The sequence below is a fragment of the Homo sapiens genome, chromosome 3 (genome assembly GCF_000001405.40).
Source record: "Homo sapiens chromosome 3, GRCh38.p14 Primary Assembly".
NCBI classification, from domain to species: Eukaryota; Metazoa; Chordata; class Mammalia; order Primates; family Hominidae; genus Homo; species Homo sapiens.
Window position 1 is genome coordinate 158,738,015 of NC_000003.12, and position 22,818 is coordinate 158,760,832.

General features: G+C 42.5%; 1 long non-coding RNA gene across 3 annotated transcripts in view, besides 1 other annotated feature; it reads left to right on the forward strand.

The window, feature by feature from the left end:
* The window catches only part of LOC100287290 (uncharacterized), a 52,192-nt gene that overhangs the window by 5,654 nt on the left and 23,720 nt on the right, over positions 1–22,818 (forward strand). Inside the window, exons 3-6 of one of the 3 annotated variants that reach the window (NR_171781.1) lie at positions 2,375–2,452; positions 4,016–4,130; positions 4,358–4,467; positions 4,767–5,502. This is a non-coding gene — a long non-coding RNA (uncharacterized LOC100287290). Of the gene's footprint in view, positions 1–2,374; positions 2,453–4,015; positions 4,131–4,357; positions 4,468–4,766; positions 5,503–22,818 lie in introns of those variants that run through there. The other 2 variants (NR_171780.1, NR_171782.1) reach the window with 2 other exon arrangements.
* Positions 22,619–22,814: a silencer, noted in NCBI's record as "fragment chr3:158478422-158478617 (GRCh37/hg19 assembly coordinates)". NCBI's record gives its function as "represses an EF-1alpha promoter that drives an FKBP-Casp9 reporter gene in an ReSE screen in HepG2 liver carcinoma cells {active_cell/tissue: HepG2}" and the evidence as "EXISTENCE:reporter gene assay evidence [ECO:0000049][PMID:32094911]".

Sequence of the window (22,818 nt, forward strand, 5' to 3'; positions counted from 1 at the left end):
TCCAGCTTGTCTCCCTTTCTCTGAGTCTTGCCTCGCCACACTCTTTCTTGCCTCGGACCTAGTCATGTTTCCTCACACTGAAACTTCCAGGGAAGGAGCTGCTGAGCAGATTCGTACTGTAGTGTCAGTGGCTGCCACGGCTCACTGCATTGCTCATCTTGGAAGTACTGTTATTTAAATAGGGACCAGGTCTTGAGCCAAGAGACCTAAGTTCTGACTGAGCAGATTGCAGCATTGGCTTCTGTGCCCTATGCTAGGTAGACGTATCCAGCAGCCCCTGAACAGCTGTACTTGCCCCCCTCCTATCCTCTTGACTACATAAAGAGGCCAGAGAGCAGAGAGAGAGGGCTCTGAGAGGCATTGGCTGTTTATTTTCCTTGTCTTAACCAACTTGTTCTGCCATAACAAAATACCACAAACTGGGTGGCTTAAACAACAGAAATGTGTTTTCGATGGATTGGAAGCTGGGAAGTCCAAGATCAAGATGCTGGCTGATTCAGTTCCTGCCGAGGCCCCTCTTCCTGACGTGGCCTGAAACTGCATGCTCACACAGCAGAGAGGGAAGCGGCAAGCCTCTGTGTCTCTTCTTATAAGGACACTAATCCCATCATGGGATTAGTAATTATGGTTAGACTTCATCTAACTGTAATCGCCTCCCAAAGGCCCCACCTCCAAATACCATCACATTGGAGGTTAGGGCTTCAACACATGAACTGGGGGGACACAATTCAGTCTATAGCAAACCCGTCCCAGAGGGCCTGGGATGTGTCTTCGCAGCAGATGAGAGGACTGGGCATGAGGAGACCAGGTGGTTGGCTGCGGAGAAAGAAGGTCATAGTGACACTGCCATCCTGGTTACCTTTGGCCACCCCAGCTTGTGGAATGTAAGAAGGCCCAGGAGCCAGTTCCCAAGCATCTCAGGCCCCAGGTTCTCTTAGCCAAGCCCTGAGAATACATCAAGAACAGGTGAGGGCATGTGGACGCAGGTGTGCGGGGGGCCTCCCAGCAGCTGTCCCCTCTTCCTGCTAATGCTGCTCTGATTTTCACCTTTGCTCACCTCTCTCCAGTGCTGCTGAACACACCTCATTCTGGCAATCTGACTGGAGAGAGACAGTGTCACTGTGGTGGGTTCAGGGATAGGCTCAGGACCCTATTTGGGCAAGTAAGTCAGGAGAAGCGGTTGGTGGAGTCTTGGAGGGAAGTTGTCTTGCTCTTCTGAGAGTGTGTGCTCTCCCTTCCTCTACCGTGCATGTGAGAGGAAGTGTGTGCCCCAGAAGCTGGTGGTGCCATCTTGCCTCCCTCAGGAAAGAGGCTCAGGATGGTGTCGACTCAGTGGAAGGCAGAGATGAAGCCTGGAAAGAAACCAGGCCCTTGGGGGTGTTACTAACCCACTGGACCGTGACCCATCTGAAGCCTGCCCTGTCTCTAGACTCAGAACCAGTAAGTCTATTTCATGGTTAAAGCCAGCCTGAGTGTGGTTTTGTAACGTTGGTTGAAAATTCCTAATGGATTTTCATCCAACAGGCAGTTAGTATTGGCAGGAAACACAGAGATCTAAGGCTGCCTCGTACTGGGGGTGGGAGGTGGGAGGCAGTGGGGAGATAGTGCCGGGTGTGGTGGAAGCCAAACAATCTGGGAACACCACAGCTGCTACCTGCACTGGGACTACCATATCTTCAGAGTCCACCAATTTTGGGATGACCCAGCTGGAGAAGGGACATTTCCTTTCACCAGCAACTCCCAGCCATGGCAGTAGTGCCTTGTCAGCCACAGGGGCCAGGCCAAGCCATGACCCCAGGTCAGAAGTGACTGCTTCCACGCTGGACAATTGTCTGTTCCCATTTGAGCATCGTCTCTGAGCTCCACAAGCCCTGCTGCCCTCTCTAAGGCTGTGAGGGAGAGCAGGGTTGTGGGGAGAGAGGAAAAAAGACCCTGGGGAAGGAGAAGGAATCCCTAAGATAGACGCTTTAACCTACATCATGGCTGAGAGTCACATCAGAGAAGACAGCAGAAACACTGGGGTGGATGGAGTATTTTGCAAAGGTACCCTTCGTTGAGACTATTTTCTCCTCTGTCCTTGCCCCTGCACTCACCAGTGTAAGCACCCAAATAGGGACTTGGAAAGCAAAGTTGATATCAGTTATTAGAAAAGATAAAAACATCTCCTATTTGTGCATGAGTGTGACTGCCCAAGGTGATATCAGAAGCTTCTTCTTTCTAGATGTGCATTTAGAAAGATGTGCACACAGACTGTCTCTGGAAGGACAAATCAGAAATGACTAACAATGGTTAGGGGAACAGAGAGAATGCTTGGGGTCAGAGGGGCTTTCTCTAACTGTTAAGTCTTTGGGTTCTTTTCTGTTATCGTTTGTAGGTTGCACAGTGGCTCAGAGAGTAGACTTGGAGCCAGGCTGCCCGGTTTTATAGCCCTGCTTGACCTGTGTGATCCGAGGTGAGTTATTTCACCTCTCTATGCTTTTGTGGTACCTCTTACCTCATTGAGTTGTTAGTAAGGTGCAAACAACTCACTATCTGTGTATATGTGAAGCATTTAGGACAATGCCTGGCACAAAGTAATGGCTATGTAAGTGACTGCTATTATTATTGTTATTGCCATTAACTTAAAAATTAGATACAATCTTGAAAAAAAGGAAGTCACCTGTGGATTTCTTTTCACAAAAGATGAGAAGGGATAGCAGGGACTGAAACCTGCTGGACCACTAAATAAAATTTCAGCTGTTACTTGTAGCCCCTGTAACCTAATCTTTCATTAGAACTATTTGTAGTTAAGAAAATATGAATCTGTAATCATTTTTGGTCTTCCCCCTTGGCAGAGGTGAGGGTGGGTGAGGTTGGCAAGAAGAATATGGATAATCCAGCCTTGACTATTGAAATCTGATTAACCAAATCTAGGGTGTGACCGAGATGATTGTTATCTCAGAGCTTTGGAACCAGAATGCTGGTGGAGAAAAGGCAGCTGTCCTGGTTCCTTGGGGCTGTATCTTGCATGCTCTGGGGGGAACTCAGCTTTTGTTTAGGTAAAGCCCTGTAAACCTACACATGTACCATGCCATGTTCCTGGGCCCATAATGCCTGTCCTGAAGCCCTTGTAGGAAGGCGCTTAGCTGTCCATAGAAAGAACAGAGCCCCTAATCAATGGAGTGAGCTGTGTTCCCAGAGCATTTGGCTTACTGTTCTCTCCTGTGAAGGTGCTTGGGACTCATTGGGGGAATTCACAGTGTCCTAAATATTGTGCCTATAAGCTACCCGAGGTTTATGTGGCTGTGTTGAGTCCCTAGCGATGGTATTTTGCTTTAGGAGCAAGAGCCAGGGCTTGGAGCCTTCAGCATTATGCCCACAGCCCACCAGACTCTCAGCAGGAAGGCAAAGGTCGCAGTGCAGATGACCCTTGAATCTGGATTTGGGCTGCAATGGAACAGTTAACTAGAGTTTTCTGAATCTATGAGGTTAAAGAAGAAGCCTTTCCAGCTTGAATCTAGTGAGACTGAATTCTTTGGGGATGCGGAACTGGAGATGAGGTTCTTTCTAAAAGAGATGCCACAGAAAACGGGGTGATTGCATTTATTCCTGTCACCAAGGAAAGATTTTACATGGCATAGTTTAGGTAGAAAGATTTCACATGACATAGTTTAGGTAGACACTGACATGGATGTGTTTGGAAGTGTCAACACCCAACGGGATAAGGTAATCAGCCCTGTCTAAGAGAGCTTTCTGATGACAATGATCCATATCTGCACCAGCTACATGTGGCTACCAAGTGCTTAAATTATGGCCAGTGCAGTCTAAGAACAGAATTTTTAATTGTATTTAATTTAAATAGATTTAAATATACATAGCCACATATATTTACATGGTGTCTGATGATAACTGTATCATACAGCACAGTTATAGACAATTGACTTTTCTCTATAGTACTTCGTTTGGGAAGAGAAAGAGCAAGTAACATTTTGTGGAGCTGTGTTTCAGACATGATGCTATATGCTTTCTCTTACAGAATAATCTTGTTTAATCTCCACAAGTTTGAGGACTAAACTGGGTGCCACAGAGAATTAAGTAACTGGTCGAGGTTGTATCAGTAAGAAGGGAGCACGGAACAGATTCAAGCTCAGGTATGGCCCACCCAAGTGCTGCTTGTACATTCCACAATTGGGTAGACTCTGATTTACTTAAGGGTTTCGATTACAGTGGCAAAGTGAATTAAGGGCCAGGAAATGTGGCTTTGTGGTTAGGTAAGTTGAGATTATTTCACTTGAAGAGAAGAATACAGAAGAAGTCACTCAATCTTTAGAACTATATTCAAAGATCATTTCCTTTTTTTTCTTTTTTTTTTCTTGAGATGGAGTCTCACACTGTCACCCGGGCTGGAATGCAGTGGTGTGATCTTGGCTCACCTCCCAGGTTCAAGCGATTCTGCTGCCTCTGCCTCCCGAGCAGCTGGGATTCCAGGTACCCACCACCACACCCAGCTAATTTTTTGTATTTTCAGTAGAGATGGGGTTTCACTATGTTGGCCAGGCTGGTCTTGAACTCCTGACCTCAGGTAATCCGCCTGCCTCGGCCTCCCAAAGTGCTGGGATTACAGGCGTGAGCCATCATGCCTGGCCTCAAAGATCATTTCTTAGAGAAGAACAGCTAGCTGTCTCTGTCACCATTAATGAAAGCTTCATTTTTTTCTGGTTTACCTGGGGGCTATGGAAGAAGTGATAAAGCCTTGTTTCTGACATGGGCATTTCTCCACATCTCAGGGAGCCTGGTTGGACTTCAGGCCCCTGTGAGGCTGACTCTGTAGTCCTGGAGAAACTCAACAGCCAGGAACTTAGGACCATTTGTGTGTGGCATTTGGGCTAACCAGACTGGTGGCTTCTAAAGAAGATGGAAAGCATCACGTTTCCTGTATTTAAATTATTTGGTGATCTCAATACTGGTTGTTAGCCAAAGTACACAATGGAGACAGCCTATTTGCTCTACTACTTTTGATGTAGAAATATTACTAAGCTTGAGCTGATTAATAGAACTGTTACACATTTCTGTGCTCCCCTTACTGGTGGCATGAAATAATTCTTTTAAAACCTGCCATGTGTTCACATTTAAAACTAAAAGTAATTTAGATTACATGGATTTGAGAAGCCCATGTTGACACGTAATTGCCAACAGATGGGCTTTCAAATGTAATGAAGTGAAAATGGTCAGTACCCCATGTGTTGGATTTTGCAATTTTCCAAAGTAAGCTGTCATTTTTGGCATGTCATGCTAGTTAAGAACACAATGTATTTATAGCTCAATTATACATTTTCTGATGAATTTGGCATGGCATTTTGTTTTTCCATCAGTCACTTAAGACAGGACATTTGCCATTCCAAGAATGAATTAACACTCTTCTAAGTGATCTATAAACTGAGATGTAAAATAAATTACAAATTGGGACTGTTTTAGTTTTTCAAGCAAAGGGTGTTTAAATAAAGCTTGAAATCATAAACCTTATTTCCTGTTTGAGAAGATGGTGTATTCATTACAGAGTGAAATAAAGGATTTTAATGTTTTTTTTTTTTTCCGGCAATAATAGTTAGAATCTTACGTTCTTCAAAGAAAATTTCAAAGAAAATTCATAACACTTGTTAATATTTGTATGCCATGAACTTTCTGGAGTGATTGATCTATGCAATTCTGTTTATGACACTGGTGTTCATCAGTGAAATTTGCATAGAGTATGTTATCAAGGCAAACCAAAACCAACTCTTCATACCTCAGGGGAAGGCGTTTTCCCACATGTGGCAGCCTAGATAACAGGACAGTGTGTTAGAAAGCCCTCATTCTATTTTCCCCTCTTCACCATTATTTCTACAGGGTGCACACCAGGGCATATATATAATAGTGAGAGCAAACAGAAGTACTGATAAATCACCTGGCTAATAAATAGACAACACAATCACCTAGATGACTTAGAATACGTGAATACATACAGACAGAGGTTGGTTGATTCCTTGGAGTGTTCTTATGACAGTGCTGATTTGTGTGTGTGGTTAGTTGTTAAAATTTGGTGCTCCTGCAGGGAGGATGATTGGTGCAGGCTTCTGTTCAGCCACCCTGCCCCTAGTTCCATGGAATGTAATGTGCGGTGGGTGGATCTTCAAGTCCAGAAGCAGAAAAGCTGGATTTGTGGGCGTTCAGAAGAGTCAGCAAGTTGTGAGAGCAGCAAGGGGCAGACTGGTCTGGGCAGAAGGTGTGGGCCGAGTGAATGAATTGTAGGGAAGACCAAACAGAACAGCAGTGAACCTGGCTGGAATCATGCCAGTGGCTACTTAGCAGTAAAGGAAAAAGGTGGAAAACCTTGAAGCCCAGCAATGGGCATTTGCTCTTAGAGGGTTCTCTAAAGTCCCTGCACACCTAGCCTTGAAAAGAGCCTACTGTGCACAGGGTGAGTTGGGTTGGATTATTTTTTTGAAACAAATGCCACTGTAAACATGTTTTTCTCTTCACTGGTAAATATCAGAATTATGATGAGGCTTTAGGATAAGGAGATATTATTGTTGGCTAAAATGAAATTCTATCTTGATTCTTAAAGAACTAAGAAGGATGGTACAGGGCAAAGAGCTCTGGTCTGAGAGTCAGAAGGCATGGGGTCTAGTCCCAGCTCAACAACTCAAACTGGCTCAGTCTCTTCTGTGTAAAGTGCTGGGTGTGGGATGAATTACATGGCAAACAGAGGGAACTGCCGGTTTGAAACACTGTAGTTTTATTCTCTTTTACCTGTGCCTACCCGGTGCAGAGAACCTTGCTAAGTTGTCCTTTCTTTGGACACATCTCACTAACGTCTTCCCACCTTCTGAAAGAAGACTTGTGCCTTCTTACTATCATGCAGATATCATGCCTGGCCTTATTACCAGATATTTTAAGTTAAAAAAAAATCCAAACCACCAAAGATCAGAGTTTAATTGATATGCTTATTGCTCTGAGCTAAATGAAACAAATGAATGTCTGGAATTTGGTAAATGAGATGACTCCTATTTTGAATTGTAAGTAAACTGATGTGGCAGTCAGGGTAGTCTAGGATATGCTGCAATAACAAACAATGCCTACATCTCAGGACCTAAGATAAAAAAGGTTTATTTGTTGCTCTCATCACAAGTCCGTTATGGTTTGGCTGGGGGTTTTACCATAGCATTGTCAGTGTTCTTATTCCACAGGGCAGGCTGGTGGAGCAGCTGCTTCTGGAACATTTCTTGTTGCTACAACTGAGGAAAAAGAGAACAGGGTGAATTATGCTTAGGTTCTTAGAGTTTCTGTTCAGGAGTGATACATATTACTTCTGCTCACCTTTTATTGACAAAAGCATGTCGTAGGCGATGCTTAACTTCTTCAGGGGGTGGGAAAGTACAATATCATCATGTTCTCCAGGAGGTGGAGAGCTGGAAGTATGTGGAACAGCACAAATGCTTACCACAACAGTGACTGCTGGGCGAGACCTAACCTCATCATGAGCAGAGTCTTTCATATATTGTATTAGTTTGCTGAGCTGCCATAACTGAATACCACAGACTGGGCAGATCAGACAGCATTTATTTTCTCCCAATTCTGGAGGCTAGAAGTCCAGTGTCATGGTGTAGGCAGGGCTGGTTTCTTCTGAGACCTCTTCCCTTGGCTTCCCCTTCTCTGTGTGTCTTCACATGATCTTCCCTCTGTGTGTGCCTGTGTCCTTGTCTCCTTATAAGGACACCAGTCATGTTGGACTACAGCCCATTCCAATGACCTTACTTTAACGAATTACCTCATTAAAGAGTCTGTTTCCAAATGCTGTAATATTCTGAGGTGCTGGGGGTTAGGGCTTCAATATATGTATGAATTTTGGGGGGACACAATTGAGCCCATAACAGATATCATGTTAACATTAGAACTGGGGCTGTAACAATGGTAATTGTTAATAGCAATTAGTAATTAGCAAAAATTTTGATACATATTATCCCTGTCCCTATACTTGGTATGAAAAAGCTCAATAATTTTTTTTTTGTTTTCTTTTATAGGGTCTTGCTCTGTCACCCAGACTGGAGTGCAGTGGTGCAATCTTGGCTCACTGCACCCTTCACCTCCTGGGCTCAGGTGATCCTCCCCATCAGCCTTCTGAGTAGCTGGGACTACAGGCATGTGCCACCATGCCTGGCTAATTTTTGTGTTTTTAGTAGAGATGGGGTTTCGCCATGTTGCCCAGGCTGATCTTGAACTCCTGGCACAAGCAATCCATCTGCCTTAGCCTCCCAAAGTGCTGGGATTCCACACGTGAGCCCGCACGCCAGGCCACAAGATCTATTTGTGCAAATAGATTATTTCTTGCTATAACATTCATGACAGCTCTAAGATGCTGTGATTAGAGTTTAAAAATTGTAGATTTAATTGCAGACCTATAGAAAGTTTTCATAATACACCTCATACCTTAAACTCTCTTTAAACACATTAGATACTACAGAATCCAGAAGACTGACTTGACTTTTTACTGGTTTTAATATTTCTCCTGTGATATGTGTTAGAAAACCATAGACTTGTTATTTTTACTGAGTATTTCCCTGCTATTAGACATGATTGGCTGGGCACGGTGGTTTGTGCCTATAATCACAGCACTTTGGGAGGCTGATGCAGGCGAATCACCTGAGGTCAGGAGTTTGAGACCAGCCTGGCCAACATGGTGAAACCCCGCCTCTACTAAAAATACAAAAGTTAGCCAGGCATGGTGGCACATGCCTGTAATCCCAGCTACTTGGGAGGTTGAGGCAGGAGAATCACTTGAACCCGGGAGGCGGAGGTTGCAGTGAGCCGAGATCATGCCAGTGCACTCTAACCTGGGTGACAGAGTGAGACTCCATTTCAAAGTAAAAAAAAAAAAAAAGATACGATCTAGGCTGGTGGTTCTGAGACTTGAGCATGAATCATCATCCCCAGGAGGGTTTGTTGAAACAGACGACTGAGCCTCTCCCCCAGAGATTCTCACTCCGTAGGTCTGGGATGGACCCAAGATTCTGCATTTCTGACATGTACCCAGGTGGTGCTGTTGCTGCCAGTCAGACCAGACTGCAAGAAGCACTGGTTTAGGAAATTGCAGGTGAGGTGATGGAAAAACCATCTTTCTGTATTTCCTCATCTCTGGGGCTTGAGGTCCTGGAAGGCAGCCAGGCTAATGTGGGTACATCACTGATACCTTCCAGTCACAGGGAGACAGGGAGTCAGAATTATTAGAATAGTGAATGAGGCACTGTGTAACCAGGACCAGCTCTTTTGTATTTCTTAATCCTTACACAAACCATGTAGTATTACCCACTCTGTGTAAGGCCTACTTCCTCTTGAACCATTCTTCAGTCATTTTGTTTCTGTTTTTAGAACAGAGGGGCTGGTACAACATGCTTTTTAACAGTTAGGCCAATTGCACCAAAGTCTTGAGAAAAAAACACTTAAACCCAGTCATTTTCTGTTTCCAACTGTGCTGCTTTTCATACACACAACTTTCTGGAGCCCAGTGCTAACTGTGACCACTTTTGCTTTGGGAGTCCTAGAGCTCCTTGTCAAGGCTCAGCCCCGTGGCCTGCACTCACCTCTCCTCCTGATGGCCTTAGCCTCCTGATTGAGACTGCACACTCAGACCATGCTGTTAGGACTGAGGGATTTTTAGTCCCCCAAGTACCAATGAGAGCTGGAGAAGTGACAAGTGGATGTGTCCAGAGAAGGAGGCCGAGGCAGACCGTGCTCTCTGTTTCCACAGTATCCCTTCTCCATTTCTCCCTTACTGTGATGGTCTGAGTTTTGTGTTCCCCACAAATTAACATATTTCAGTCCTAACACTCAAAGTGATGGATTAGGAGGTAGGGCCTTTGAGGGGTGATTAGTGGCTGTATGAAAGAGGCCCGAGAGTGGCACCTCATCTTTTCCATCACGCGAGGACACAGCAAAAAGGCCCTGTGAACCATGAAGTGGGTCCTCACCAGAACCTGAATCTGCTGGCACTTTGATCTTGGATTTCCAGCCACCAGAACCGTGAGTGATAAATTTCTGTTGTATAAGCCACCCAAGTCTATGGTATTCTGTTACAGCAGCCCAGATGGACTAAGACACTTACTGACCAGACCCAAGGGTCGTGTAGGGTGGTGATGTGCTCACTAAATACTGTGCCAGTGCCATTGTAGCTAGGGGCAGCTGTGTGACCTGCTTCTGGCTCATGCATGCAAGAGTTCTGTGTGGAGTTTCTGAGAAAACCTTTAAAAGGAGGTCTGGCTCAGCTGGGGTGCTCTTATTGTCCTCTGCCCTTCACCCTTCCCCTTATTCCTTCCTGGAATGCAGATGCTAGGCTTGGAGGTGCAGCAGCCAGGGTGCTACAATGCAGGCTCCATACTGAGCAAGTTGGAGCAGGAGGAGAGCAGGAGCCTGCCTCTCCAGTGGCAACCCCAGCAGCTGCTGAACTCCAGACTTCCTCTCATGTGAGAAAAACCCCCTACTAGACTCTGCCTGTTTGTTAGATTTTTCTGTTACTTGCAAGGGCTCTGCCTCCATCAGCACGGAGTCTGAGAAAGAAGAGAAGTGACTGGGAAGTGACATGTGAGTGTCCCACCACTGATGACAGTGATGAGAATCAGCAGACTAGCAGCCACGCGAACAAACATTTCCTGAGCACTGACTCCAGATCAGGCACGATGCCAAGCCCTCGACGTGGCATTTTACAGATGAGGAATCTAAGGTTCAGAGGGTTTTAGTAACATGCCCAAGTCGCACAGCCAGGAAGGGTAGAGCTGGGATTCACACCCAGGCCTGTCCAACCTCCCTGGCCCTCATCAGGACTCTTGACCTCTCTAGCTCTGGTCCCCAGGCCTCTGTCTTTGGTGTCTAGAGTCAGGCCTTAGGCACCTGTCCACTTTCAAGGCCCTGGCTCTCATGGCTTGTATCCCCACCAACCTCCCCGATCCCTTCCCTGCAAACACAGCTGCTTCTCCATGGCTGGGCTGGGGTTGGAGCCCCCTCTTCTCCTGCTGTGCCCACCCTCTCCTGTCTGGTGACTCCTGCAGGATGGGGCTCCTCTGCCTTCTATTCCCTGTGTTCTCCTCCTTTGCCTTCCTTATCAGAATGAGAACAGGCATGACGCCTCTTCTTAGAGTTTTGATTTTTCAGAGTTGCAAATACGTCTGCTCTTCACATTGTATCTTTATCATTTTGATTGATGTCAGTTTCTAGAACACCTCAGCACTGGAAACAAGTACCAGAGGAAAACAACATACATTACAAAGAAAAATATGTATAGTATTGATAAATGATAGAATCTCAGAGTTGAAAGGAATCTTGGGGCACCATTCAGCCTCACCCTTTCCCCTGAAGCTGAAAACTCAAAAGGTGAGCTGGGTGGGTAGCGGGGTCAGAGTGCTTGCATGGGAACTGAGGCCTGAGCATTTTGTACAGAAAGAATAAATCCCACATCTCCCATACCACGTGTTCAAGCACTTTCAAATGTATCAAGACACTGTTGTGATAGATAGAATATGGATTCCTTTAAAAGCATCCCTGAACGTAGAGGTTTTGATCATGATGCATTTTCTGGTGTACATGTGTGTTTAAGGCGTCTTCATACTCAGAGTTACGAGCTCCTTCTCAGGCAGACCTGGTGCGTGCTGCTCACTCATCCATGAAAGCTCCTTGGGAGCCTCAGAACCGGCCTTATCTTGCATCCAGCTCTGCCTCTGGGTCACTTCTACAGTTGCCCTGGTCCTGTGTAGTGTGACTGAGAATAAGCCCCTCCAACCTTTGGAAATCAGAGTCTGTGTCCTGGTCCAAATGTGTCCTGGCACCTCTTTCTCATTCTCATCTTGACCTATGGTGATCAGCTTCTCCTGGTCTGCCAGAGAGTATCCTGGATTTAAAACTAAAAGTTCTGGGTCTGGAAACTCCCTCAGTCCCAGGAAAACTGGAATGGTTGGTCACCACTGTCTACTCTCTTTCAGGCTGAACAATGCTATTTCCTAAAATGTTTATAGTAGACAAGGTGTCTACATCCCACCATCCTGGTACCCCTCTGGGCTCATGCTCCAGTTCGACAGCGTCACTCTGAACATGCTGCATCTTAAGCTGAAGGAGATCCTCCGTATTGAGGTTGTGGGTCTGTCGATCAATGTATTCAACTTTTAACTAACTGCTCCACAACACTGGCTTATAATGCATGTGTGACCAGTTAAAACCACAGGGCGTCTCCATTAACTTCTGTCAGGTCAGGTTTCCCACCTCCACCCTGTACTTGGCAGTTGCTCTTTTGACCTAATGGCAGTTTATTTTAAATTTAGTTTAATTTATTGGCTTGGGCCTAGTCAATGTCCCTTTTCAGGTGATGTGAAATGTGAGCCCCTGGCCCATCTTGGTCGTCTTGCCCAGGTTTGTGGCTTCTGCTCATTTGGTAAACCCACCTTCTGTGCCCCCATCCAAAGTGTCAGTACAAATGTTTGGCACAGATCCCTGGGGCACATCACCTGAGACATCCATTGAGATTCACATCAAGCTGTCAGTTGATAATCTCTATTTTCTTGTTCAGCTACCAGGGAGAATAGATCTAATTGTATTTTGGCCCTTAGGGGTAACCCCAGAGGCTTTGGGCACATGCTGATAAAAAATCAAAATCCCTTAGGAGCTGAAGCATATTCCAGAAAGGCTAGGATGCCACCAGGTCAACACCACTCTGAATAAGCACAGGTAATTGAGGCATTGACCCTATAATTATGTGGGTGGTTTACTCCCAGCAAAGGCCTAATCCTCAGTTGGCTCCTCTTTGCCACTCACAGGTCTCCGAGTCACTTCCTTTCACCAGCCATTTTTAGTAAACTCCAGGGGAGTTCGGATCAATTTGCTTAATATTTCAAGATTTTATTCCATCACATAAAGAAATAGATTAGTGGGATGTACCTTCAAGTATAATCTCTTAGAATTTGTGTATTAACTTTTTTGTCCCTGCACCTGTGACCTTTTTAAAAAATTGAGTTAATACCTACAGAGAAATGCCCAGATCTTAAATATGCACTTCCAAGAGTTTAAGCAATTGTATAATCCACGCCATCAGCACCCTAGTCAAGATACAGGTCCCACCCATCACCCCAGAAATGCTTCAGTGCCTCCTTCCAGTCGGTTTCCCCCTCACTCTTCATGTGGCCTAAGACTGTACCACTCTAACAGGTCTTAGACCCATGCAAATATAACTAAAGGTGATTAGAAAGAAATATCCCATAAAAATAAAATAAGAACAATATACATGTTTTGAAAATAACTGCAGTTTAGCATTTTCCATCTCTGTCTATGGCACAGGTAACCAAGTGTTTACTACATTGTTTTCTCACATTTTCTATTGCATAATTTTCTTTGAATAGTTCAGTGTCATACCAATTAAAATGTTTACTCTGTGTTGCAACTTGTAGTATCTTAAAAAACGTATATGTACAACTGAACTTAAAAGGAGGGACACTCTGCTGGAATGTGAGAGTCATTAGGTATATAACAACCAATGTCATCATTCCTGGCTGGTAGAATTGTCTGATGAGGCCTGCAGCCAGCAGAGGTGCTCACAGGTGCAGGAGTGCATACTGGCTGGCCTTTACCTGGTGGTTTGTGTTGGCTGCTGTTTGTGGAGACCTGCATTTGTAAGAGCATCCCTGACTGCTGTGGCTGACACACCTGCAAGTGTCTGTGGAATGTAATTAGTGCAGCCCAGCCTTGCAAAAAAGAAAGTCTTCTCTTGTTGCAGGAGATGAACTGGACTGACCCATTCATGATTGGTGGATAGAAGATATCCACCTATATTTTTGTACTTTGCAAAGAGTGTTCAACATTCACTAATATGATGGTGACCTTCTGGGAAGGATGAAAAATTCTGAGAAATTCTTTAAGTCTGATAGCAAATTATGTTTTAGCTGTCCTGTCTTAAGTTCAGCTTTGGTGTTTGTGATGGTTAATTTTATGTGTCAACTTGATGGAGCTAAGGGATGCCCAGCTCACTGGTAAAATAGTACTTCTGGGTGTGCCTATGAGGGTGTTTCTGAAGGAGATTAGCATTTGAGTTGGTGGGCTGACTGGAGAAGAGTGCCCTCAACAATGCGAGTGGGCATCATCCAATCTGTTGGGGGCCCAAATAAAACAGAAAGACAGAGGAAGGGCAAATTTGCTGTCTGAGCTGCGACATCCACCTTCTGCCGTCAAACACCAGCTCTCCTGGTTCTTGGGGAACTTGGACTGGAAGAAACCACACTGGGTTTCCTGGATCTCCAGCTTGCAGATGGCAGATCTGGAGACTTCTCAGCCTCTGTAATCCATGAGCCAATCCCTCATAATAAATCTCTTTCTATATATCTCTATATATCCTCTTGGCCTGTTTCTCTGGAGAATCCTAACTAATATGACATTTTGCCTAACTATGGTAAGGTGCTACTCAGAGCCCTGCAAAGCAATGAAGAAATAGTAGTAGTAACAGCAATAATAAAAACCACCATGACAATAATAACAACCATTTGCTATTGCTCACCATGCTGGCAGCTGTGCTGAGGAGCTTGTATAGATCATCACAATTAATTCCCACAGCAGTACCATTTATAGATCAAGTAATTGAAGTAAAACAGGTGAAGTAACTTTCCTAAAGGGGTAAACCACATTAAAAGTAGAATTTGTACCAGGTGTACCTGTCAGTGTCCCAGGAGAAAATGGCTGGTATATTTAAATTGAGCGATTGGAGGCAAGTATGATAAATAAATAATGGAGTTTTCACATGTATGAGGAACTGCACCTAGATGTGTTCCTTGGTCTGTCTTTCTGGATCATTCCGTGCTATGATGTCCTTCTAATATCTCTAGCTTTCATAATAAGTTATATTATCTGGAAGAGTGAGTCTCTGACTCTCCCCGCTCCTCCTCCTCCTCTTTCCTCTTCAATTTTTGTTTCTTAGCTGTTCTTTTCTGTTTATTCCTTGCATTAATTTGAGGATGTACTTGAAAAGTTTCATGAAAAAAAATCTGGGTGGGGTGCATTGGCTCACACCTGTAATCCCAGCACTTTGGGAGGCTGAGGCTGTCAGAGCACTTGAGGCCAGGACTTTGAGAACAGCTTAGGCACCATAAGTGCCATCCTATCTCTACAAAAAAGAAAAAGAAAATTAGCTGGGCATGGTGACTTGTGCCTGTAGTCCCAGCTACTCGGGAGGCTGAGGTGGGAGGATCACTTAAACCCGGGGGGTTGAGTCTGCAGTGAGCTGTGATTGCACCACTGCACACCAGCTTCAGGGTCTACAAGGCTTCACTCTGTCACACAGGCTGGAGTGCAGTGACATGATCACAGCTCACTGTAGCCTTGACCTCCCAGGCTCAAGCAATCCTCCCACCTCAGCCTCCCAAGTAGCTGGGACTATGGGCACGAGCCACCACACCCGGTTAATTTTTTATTTTTTGTAGAGATGGGGGTCTCACTATATTGCTCAGGCTGATCTCAAACTCCTGGGATAAGGCAGTCCTCCCACCTCGGCTTTCCAAAGTGTTGGGGTTACAGGCATGAGCCACCGCACCTGGTCAAACTATCATCTTACTTATAATAGATTATAAAACTCTCTTGGATTTTCTATACTAAGGTAGTCAAAATTTTAAGAAGGCCTCCAAGATTTTCACCTCTTGATGTACATACCCCATATAATTCCCTTCCCTTGAGTGTCAGTAGAACCTGTTAATATGATGGGATAGTCACTCCCATTATTATGCTGTACCATTTAAGACAGTTCTAGGTGACCGAAGGGAGAGATTCTCCTGGTGGCTTTGAACAAGTAAGCTGTGACAGTGTAGGCCAAGTGGCAAGGGACTGCAGGCGGCTTCCGGGGGCCAAGAGCAGGCCCCAGGCAACAACCATCAGAAAACGGAAGCCTCACTCCTATCATCCCAGGGAACTGAATTCTGCCACCACATGAGTTTGGAAGAGGATCATGAGCTCCAGCTGAGAGCAGAAGTAGGGCCTCCGCCTTGATTTCAGCCCCACCTTGATTTCAGCCTACTGACACCCTGTATAGAGATACTGACTTCTGACCTACAAAACTGTGACATAATAAATGTGGGTTTTTTAAACTGCTAAATTTGCGGTTATTTGTTACCCAACAACAGAAAGCATTGTAAACATTCTTGCTGTTTGCAATTAATGGCAAGATTGTTTCTTCCTTTCCAAACCTTATACATTTTATATTTATTCCTGGCCTTATTTTCCTGGCTAAAACCTTGAGTTAAATAGAAGGGACGATATTGAAAATCCTTAAATTTTTCTTGATTGTAAGGTAATTATTTTTTATTTTTATTTTTTTTGAGACAGAGTTTCACTCTTGTTGCCCAGGCTGGAGTGCAATGGCTCGATCTCGGCTCACGGCAACCTCTGCCTCCTGGGTTCAAGCGATTTTCCTGCCTCAGCCTCCTGAATAGCTGGGATTACAGGCATGAGCCACCATGCCTGGCTAATTTTGTATTTTTAGTAGAGACAGGGTTTCTCCATGTTGGTCAGGCTGGTCTCGAACTCCTGACCTCAGGTGATCCGCCCGCCTCGGCCTCCCTAAGTGCTAGGATTACAGGTGTGAGACCACTACAGGTGTCTACCCGGCCGATTGTAAGGTAATTCTTCTAATATGTCATCATTAAATGTTTTTGTAATCTTTTAGAGAACATCTTTGATGAAATCATGAGCTTTAACTTCTCTTCCTACTTTGCTAAGAGTTTATTTTCCAATTACGAATGGGCTTTAAAGTTGTTATGTGTGTTTTCTACAGCTATTGAAATAATTATATGTTTTTTCTTTTTTAACTGTTAAGCTAGTTTCTACGTTGATAGATTTTCTGAAGTTAAGCCATTATTTCATTCTTGGAATAAAACCTAAATTTAAAAATGTAGTACATTGCCAGTTTTAGATTGTTAATGTTTTATTTAAGATCTTTGTTATCTTTCTTCAAAGGATTAGTAAAACAATTGTAAAGCCTTCAAAGATTGTTGATCTTTTCTTTCCCTCTTAAATAGACTTTATTTTTTAAATCAGTTTTAGGTTCATAGCAAAACTGAGCTGAAGGTACAGAAATTCTCATATTTCCTCAGCCTCTCCCACTATCAACATCCTGCATCAGAGTGGAACACTTATTACAACTGATGAGCCCACATTGGCACATCATTATCAATCAAAGTATATAGTTTACATTAGAGTTCACCCTTGGTGTTGTATATACTATGGGTTTGGACAAATGTGTAATGACATATATTCATATATTCACCATTGTAGTATCACACATAATAGTTACCCTGTCCCAAAAAGTCTTTGTGCTGTTGAAAATGATTTCTTCTTTAACATCTTTCATCTCTTCCTACCAATCCCTGGCAGCCACTGATCCTTTTACTGCCTCCATAATTATGCCTTTTCCAGAATGTTGCATAGTTGGAATGATGTCGTATGTAGACTTTTAAGACTGGCTTCTTTCACTGAGTAATATGAATTTGTTTTCTCCATGTCTTTTCATGGCTTGGTAGCTCATTTCTTTTTAGCACTGAAGAACATTTCATCGTCTGGATGTGCCACAATTTCTTTATTCATTGACCTACTGAAGGTCATCTTGGTTGCTTCCAAGTTTTGGCAATTATGATAAATAAAGCTGCTATGAACATTCATCTATGGGTTTTTGTGTGGCCATAAGTTTTCAGCTCCTATGGGTGAATACCAAGAAGCACAATTGCTGAATCATATGGTAAGAATATTTTTAGTTTTGTAAGAAGCTGCCAAACTGTCTTCTAAAGTGGGTATATCATTTTGAAAGATTGTTTTTGTTGTTGATTTTTTTTTGTAACTTTTATTTAGCTGAATAGTCTATTTTCGTTATGGAACCATGCATTTTAGTCATTTATAATAATTATTGTGTGGATTTAATATACTTATAATGTGGGTTAACATTTGGCAGTGCAAACCCATCACTCATCCCAATGTATGCATTATTTTCTTCTTCAAAATTTGTGATGCTGAAGTATTATTCTATAAACCCCTCTCACCCCTTTGCCCCCTAGTTGTTGATTTTTTAAAAATTGATTAAATTTTTAAATTATTGTTTGTCTCTAAATGCTTAACAGATCTTTTCAGGTTTTTTATTCTTCTTGAGTTTTTAAAATATTTCTCTAGAAAATTGTGTACTTCATCTACATTTTTATTATAATATTGTTGTTCATAGTATTCTTTCATGAGGTTCTAAAATTTCCTATACCAGTATTTATATTGAATTTTTATTTTTTATTATTGTTGATATGTGCCTTTTCTTATTTATTATTTGCCAGGTTTGTGAAGTTTTTGTTTTATAAGTCTTTGTCAAGAGCCAGCATTTGGTTTTATTAACTCTATTTAGTTATCTTTGTTTTCTTATTTCATTCATTTCTGTTCCTGCATTTATTAGCTCTTTTCTTCTACTTTGTTTTGTTTATTAGTTATATAGCTTCCTTTTTTTTTTTTTTTTTTTTGTTTTTGGAGACTGTGTCTCACTCTGTCGCTCAGGCTGGAGTACAGTGGCGTGATCATGGCTCACTGCAGCCTTTGACCTCCCAGGCTCAAGCAATCCTCCAACCTCTCAGCCTCCTGACTAGCTGGGGCCACAGGCACATTGCCACCATGCCCAGCTAACTTTTATATTTTTGGTAAAGATGGGGTTTTGCCATGTTGCCCAAGCAGGTCTCAAATGATCCTCCTGCCTTTGCCTCTCAAAGTGCTGGGATTACAGGCATGAACTACTGTGTCTGTCTATTAAATCTATTTAGTTATCTTTGTTTTTTATTTCATTCATTTCAGTTCTTACATTTATTCTTTCCATTTTATTTATTAGTTATATGACTTTTTTTAATTTTATTTTTATTATTATTATACTTTAAGTTTTAGGGTACATGTGCACAATGTGCAGGTTAGTTACATATGTATACCTGTGCCATGTTGGTGTGCTGCACCCATTAACTCGTCATTTAGCATTAGGTATATCTCCTAATGCTATCCCTCCCCCCTCCCCCCACCCCACAACAGTCCCCGGAGTGTGATGTTCCTCTTCCTGTGTCCATGTGTTCTCATTGTTCAATTCCCACCTATGAGTGAGAACATGCGGTGTTTGGTTTTTTGTCCTTGGCGATAGTTTGCTGAGAATGATGGTTTCCAGTTTCATCCATGTCCCTACAAAGGACATGAACTCTTCATTTTTTATGGCTGCATAGTATTCCATGGTGTATATGTGCCACATTTTCTTAATCCAGTCTATTGTTGTTGGACATTTGGGTTGGTTCCAAGTCTTTGCTATTGTGAATAGTGCCGCAATAAACATACGTGTGCATGTGTCTTTATAGCAGCATGATTTATAATCCTTTGGGTATATACCCAGTAATGGGATGGCTGGGTCAAATGGTATTTCTAGTTCTAGATCCCTGAGGAATCGCCACACTGACTTCCACAATGGTTGAACTAGTTTACAGTCCCACCAACAGTGTAAAAGTGTTCCTATTTCCTCACATCCTCTCCAACACCCGTTGTTTCCTGACTTTTTAAAGATCGCCATTCTAACTGGTGTGAGATGGTATCTCATTGTGGTTTTGATTTGCATTTCTCTGATGGCCAGTGATGATGAGCATTTTTTCATGTGTTTTTTGGCTGCATAAATGTCTTCTTTTGAGAAGTGTCTGTTCATATTCTTCGCCCACTTTTTGATGGGGTCGTTTGTTTTTTTCTTGTAAATTTGTTTGAGTTCATTGTAGATTCTGGATATTAGCCCTTTGTCAGATGAGTAGGTTGCAAAAATTTTCTCCCATTTTGTAGGTTGCCTGTTCACTCTGATGGTAGTTTCTTTTGCTGTGCAGAAGCTCTTTAGTTTAATTAGATCCCATTTGTCAATTGTGGCTTTCTCTTGAACTGACTGTGAAATCATTAGTTTTTAAATTTTTCTTCGTTTTTGAATATATCTGAATTTTTCCCTCTAGGTTCTGCATTACCTGCATTCCATATGATATGTAGCATTTTCTTTGGTATCCATTTCTAAATACAGTATTTTGTTATTTTTTAAATGATTTATTCTTTAACTCATGAAATATTTAGACATGTATTTCTTATTTTCCAAATATGTTGGTTCATTTTTTATTTGTTTTGGATTTTTAATTGTATTTTATTATGGTTTGGGAACTTGATCTGAATGATACTGAGTTTTTATTTACTGAGATTCCTTTTGATGTTCATTCAGTGGTCAAGTTTTATGAATGTTCAGTTTTTTCAAAAATACTTCAAATGTGACAAAAATATGTCTGTAATGTCAGGTGCATGATTCCATTATCTCACATTTTTGAGGTCTCTCTTTATGGCGCTCTTACAAGGTTGGTTGTCTTTCATTAGATCACAGGGCTTTCTGATTCCCTGCCTAGCTCTCAGTTTAATTTTCTGAGTAAGGATTCCTATAATCTGGGGAAAATGTAAATATGAATACCATTCCCTTAAGTGGAATAGGTTTGGGGGTTTGATTTTATGTGAAAAACTTACTCTTTTTTATCCGTAGAAGCAGGCAGATTACAAACTCCCTTGACACCCACGGTGTTGAGGGAAAATGTATGTTTATGTGTATAATTTTTCTAGCCTCCTTTTCATAGAGGGGCTTCACAGGGAGTTTCAAAACTTGTATTGCATTTATTAGAAATTTCAGAGGCTAATCCCTACATGAACAAGTGGATGGATGATAGAGATGTACCAATTATAATTACATATACATACAGCTATATGTATATATTATATATGCAAACAGATACATATGCAACACTATAACTTAGATTTTCACTGTAATGTATGAACTAGCACCTATTTCAAACACTGCTTTTGAACTTGATAGAAAGACATTGGTTATATATATTTTTAAATTATATTTTAAAAATTCTATCAAATTGTCTGCAGTCATTAATTAGGTTATTCAGAGCTGCCTCAGCAAACTTATTCTGCAGTTGAGAAAATGGGAACTGAATGGACTTCTTTATCATCAATTTGTGCCATTGTCTACAGAAACTTAGATCAGCTTTGACTAGCTTTTTCCTTCTGCTTTTTTTCAAAGAAGATTTTTATAATATGTGGGACAGGGACTGTTAATTTTCTCTACTACAACATTACATTCTACTGAGCTGATTGCAATTTTATTTAATCTTCCATCTTTACAGATGGAAGGCCTCCAAAGGCTTTAGTAGGCCCCAATTTGGGAATATAATCACTCTGAATGAAGAAACCAAAGTAAGTAAACTGTGTGGTATTGGGGGAAATTGGGATTGGGGTGAGGTAAAGTCTTTTTTTTAAATGTACTAAAAACAAGATCTCCCTTGACTTTTGATAAAGGCAAGTTATCCTAAATGCTTAAACCATTTGACTTAATTCTTGGTAAGGATGCCCATTAAATTTGATTTCATCCACTATAGTTCTGAGCTCAATTGCTTTTTGCCTCATTTATTTTTCTTAGGCCCTGAGAGAGGATGGGTAGGAGCTCTCCACGAAGGAGGCCCAAAGTGGTCCGTTCCTCCACGCTGGCACTCTCCTCACTAGGTCAGCTCATCTTCTTCTAACTCAAAACAACACATTGTTTCTCTCAAGAAAAGTGATTTTTGAAACCATTATTTTTGCTATTTGACAGGCAGGATTGTTTGTTTATACTAACTCCAACTCCAATCATAATACTGTACACATGGTGCTCAAGAAGCTGGGTGGTTCAGAAAGAAGTAATGCTTCCAATGATGGTGGGCATTTTCCAAGTGTTTGATCTGTGCCAGATGCTGGGCTAAGAGCTATTGGGCTCTTATTTGATCCACAGGCCAATTCTGCAAGGAAGGAGCAGGTCATTTATTCTGATAATCAGAGCTTGTCAGGGTTTGGATCCTCATTTACTGTTGCTCTACTGGTATACACTGCCCAGATGATATCCATTGTTATTATCCTCTACTCCTCATCCTGATCTTGACCTTGAAATGTGAGCCAATGTGATTACCTGAGAGAATAATTCATTAATGCATAAAAATAATTTATAAAAGTGCTTTTTCTTGAAAAGATTCCTTGAATGCCATTCTAGGAACATTTTCTTCTCATCATTGGCAGTGTGGGCTGGGCACGGTGGCTCATGCCTATAATCCCAACAATTTGGGAGGCAGAGACAGGAGGATTGCTTGAGTCCAGAAGTTCGAGACCAGCCTGGCCAACATAGTGAGACCCTGTCTCTATTCACATATTTAAAAATTAAAAGAAGTTTGGCAGCGTGTTCAGGAAGGACAGGACCTACTTCGATCATCTTACGACCATGAGACAGGATGGAGAAGGGAAGAAGGTGAGTCGTAAGCTATAAAGAAAGATTGATTTATGGGATAAATAAATGAATGACCAGAACTGTAGCTTCTGTTCCACAAAATGGTTTGTAATAGAGAGGACACAAGCTTTGTGATTAGACCAGGTTTGAAATAGCATCCCACTGCTTGCTGATGGCATCCTGGACATGTCATACAGGCTCTCTCAGCCTCAGTTTCCCTGAGGAAAGAAAGAGCAGAAAAGAAAAAATCTTATGGTCAGTGAAATCTCATCCTATCAGAAAAGTAGGTTACAACAACATGGTCTGTTAAATCAGAGCATTATTGAGAATGCAAGTCCTCAAAGATGTACCTTCACTCTAGCACTGCTAACGATACAGGAGAGTAGTGGGGGTGCTTGGCCGTTGCTCACTCTCTTGTGTGTCCCCCTTTGCTCAGAATTTGGTCTCTATAAGGAGCCAGGGCCCCTTAC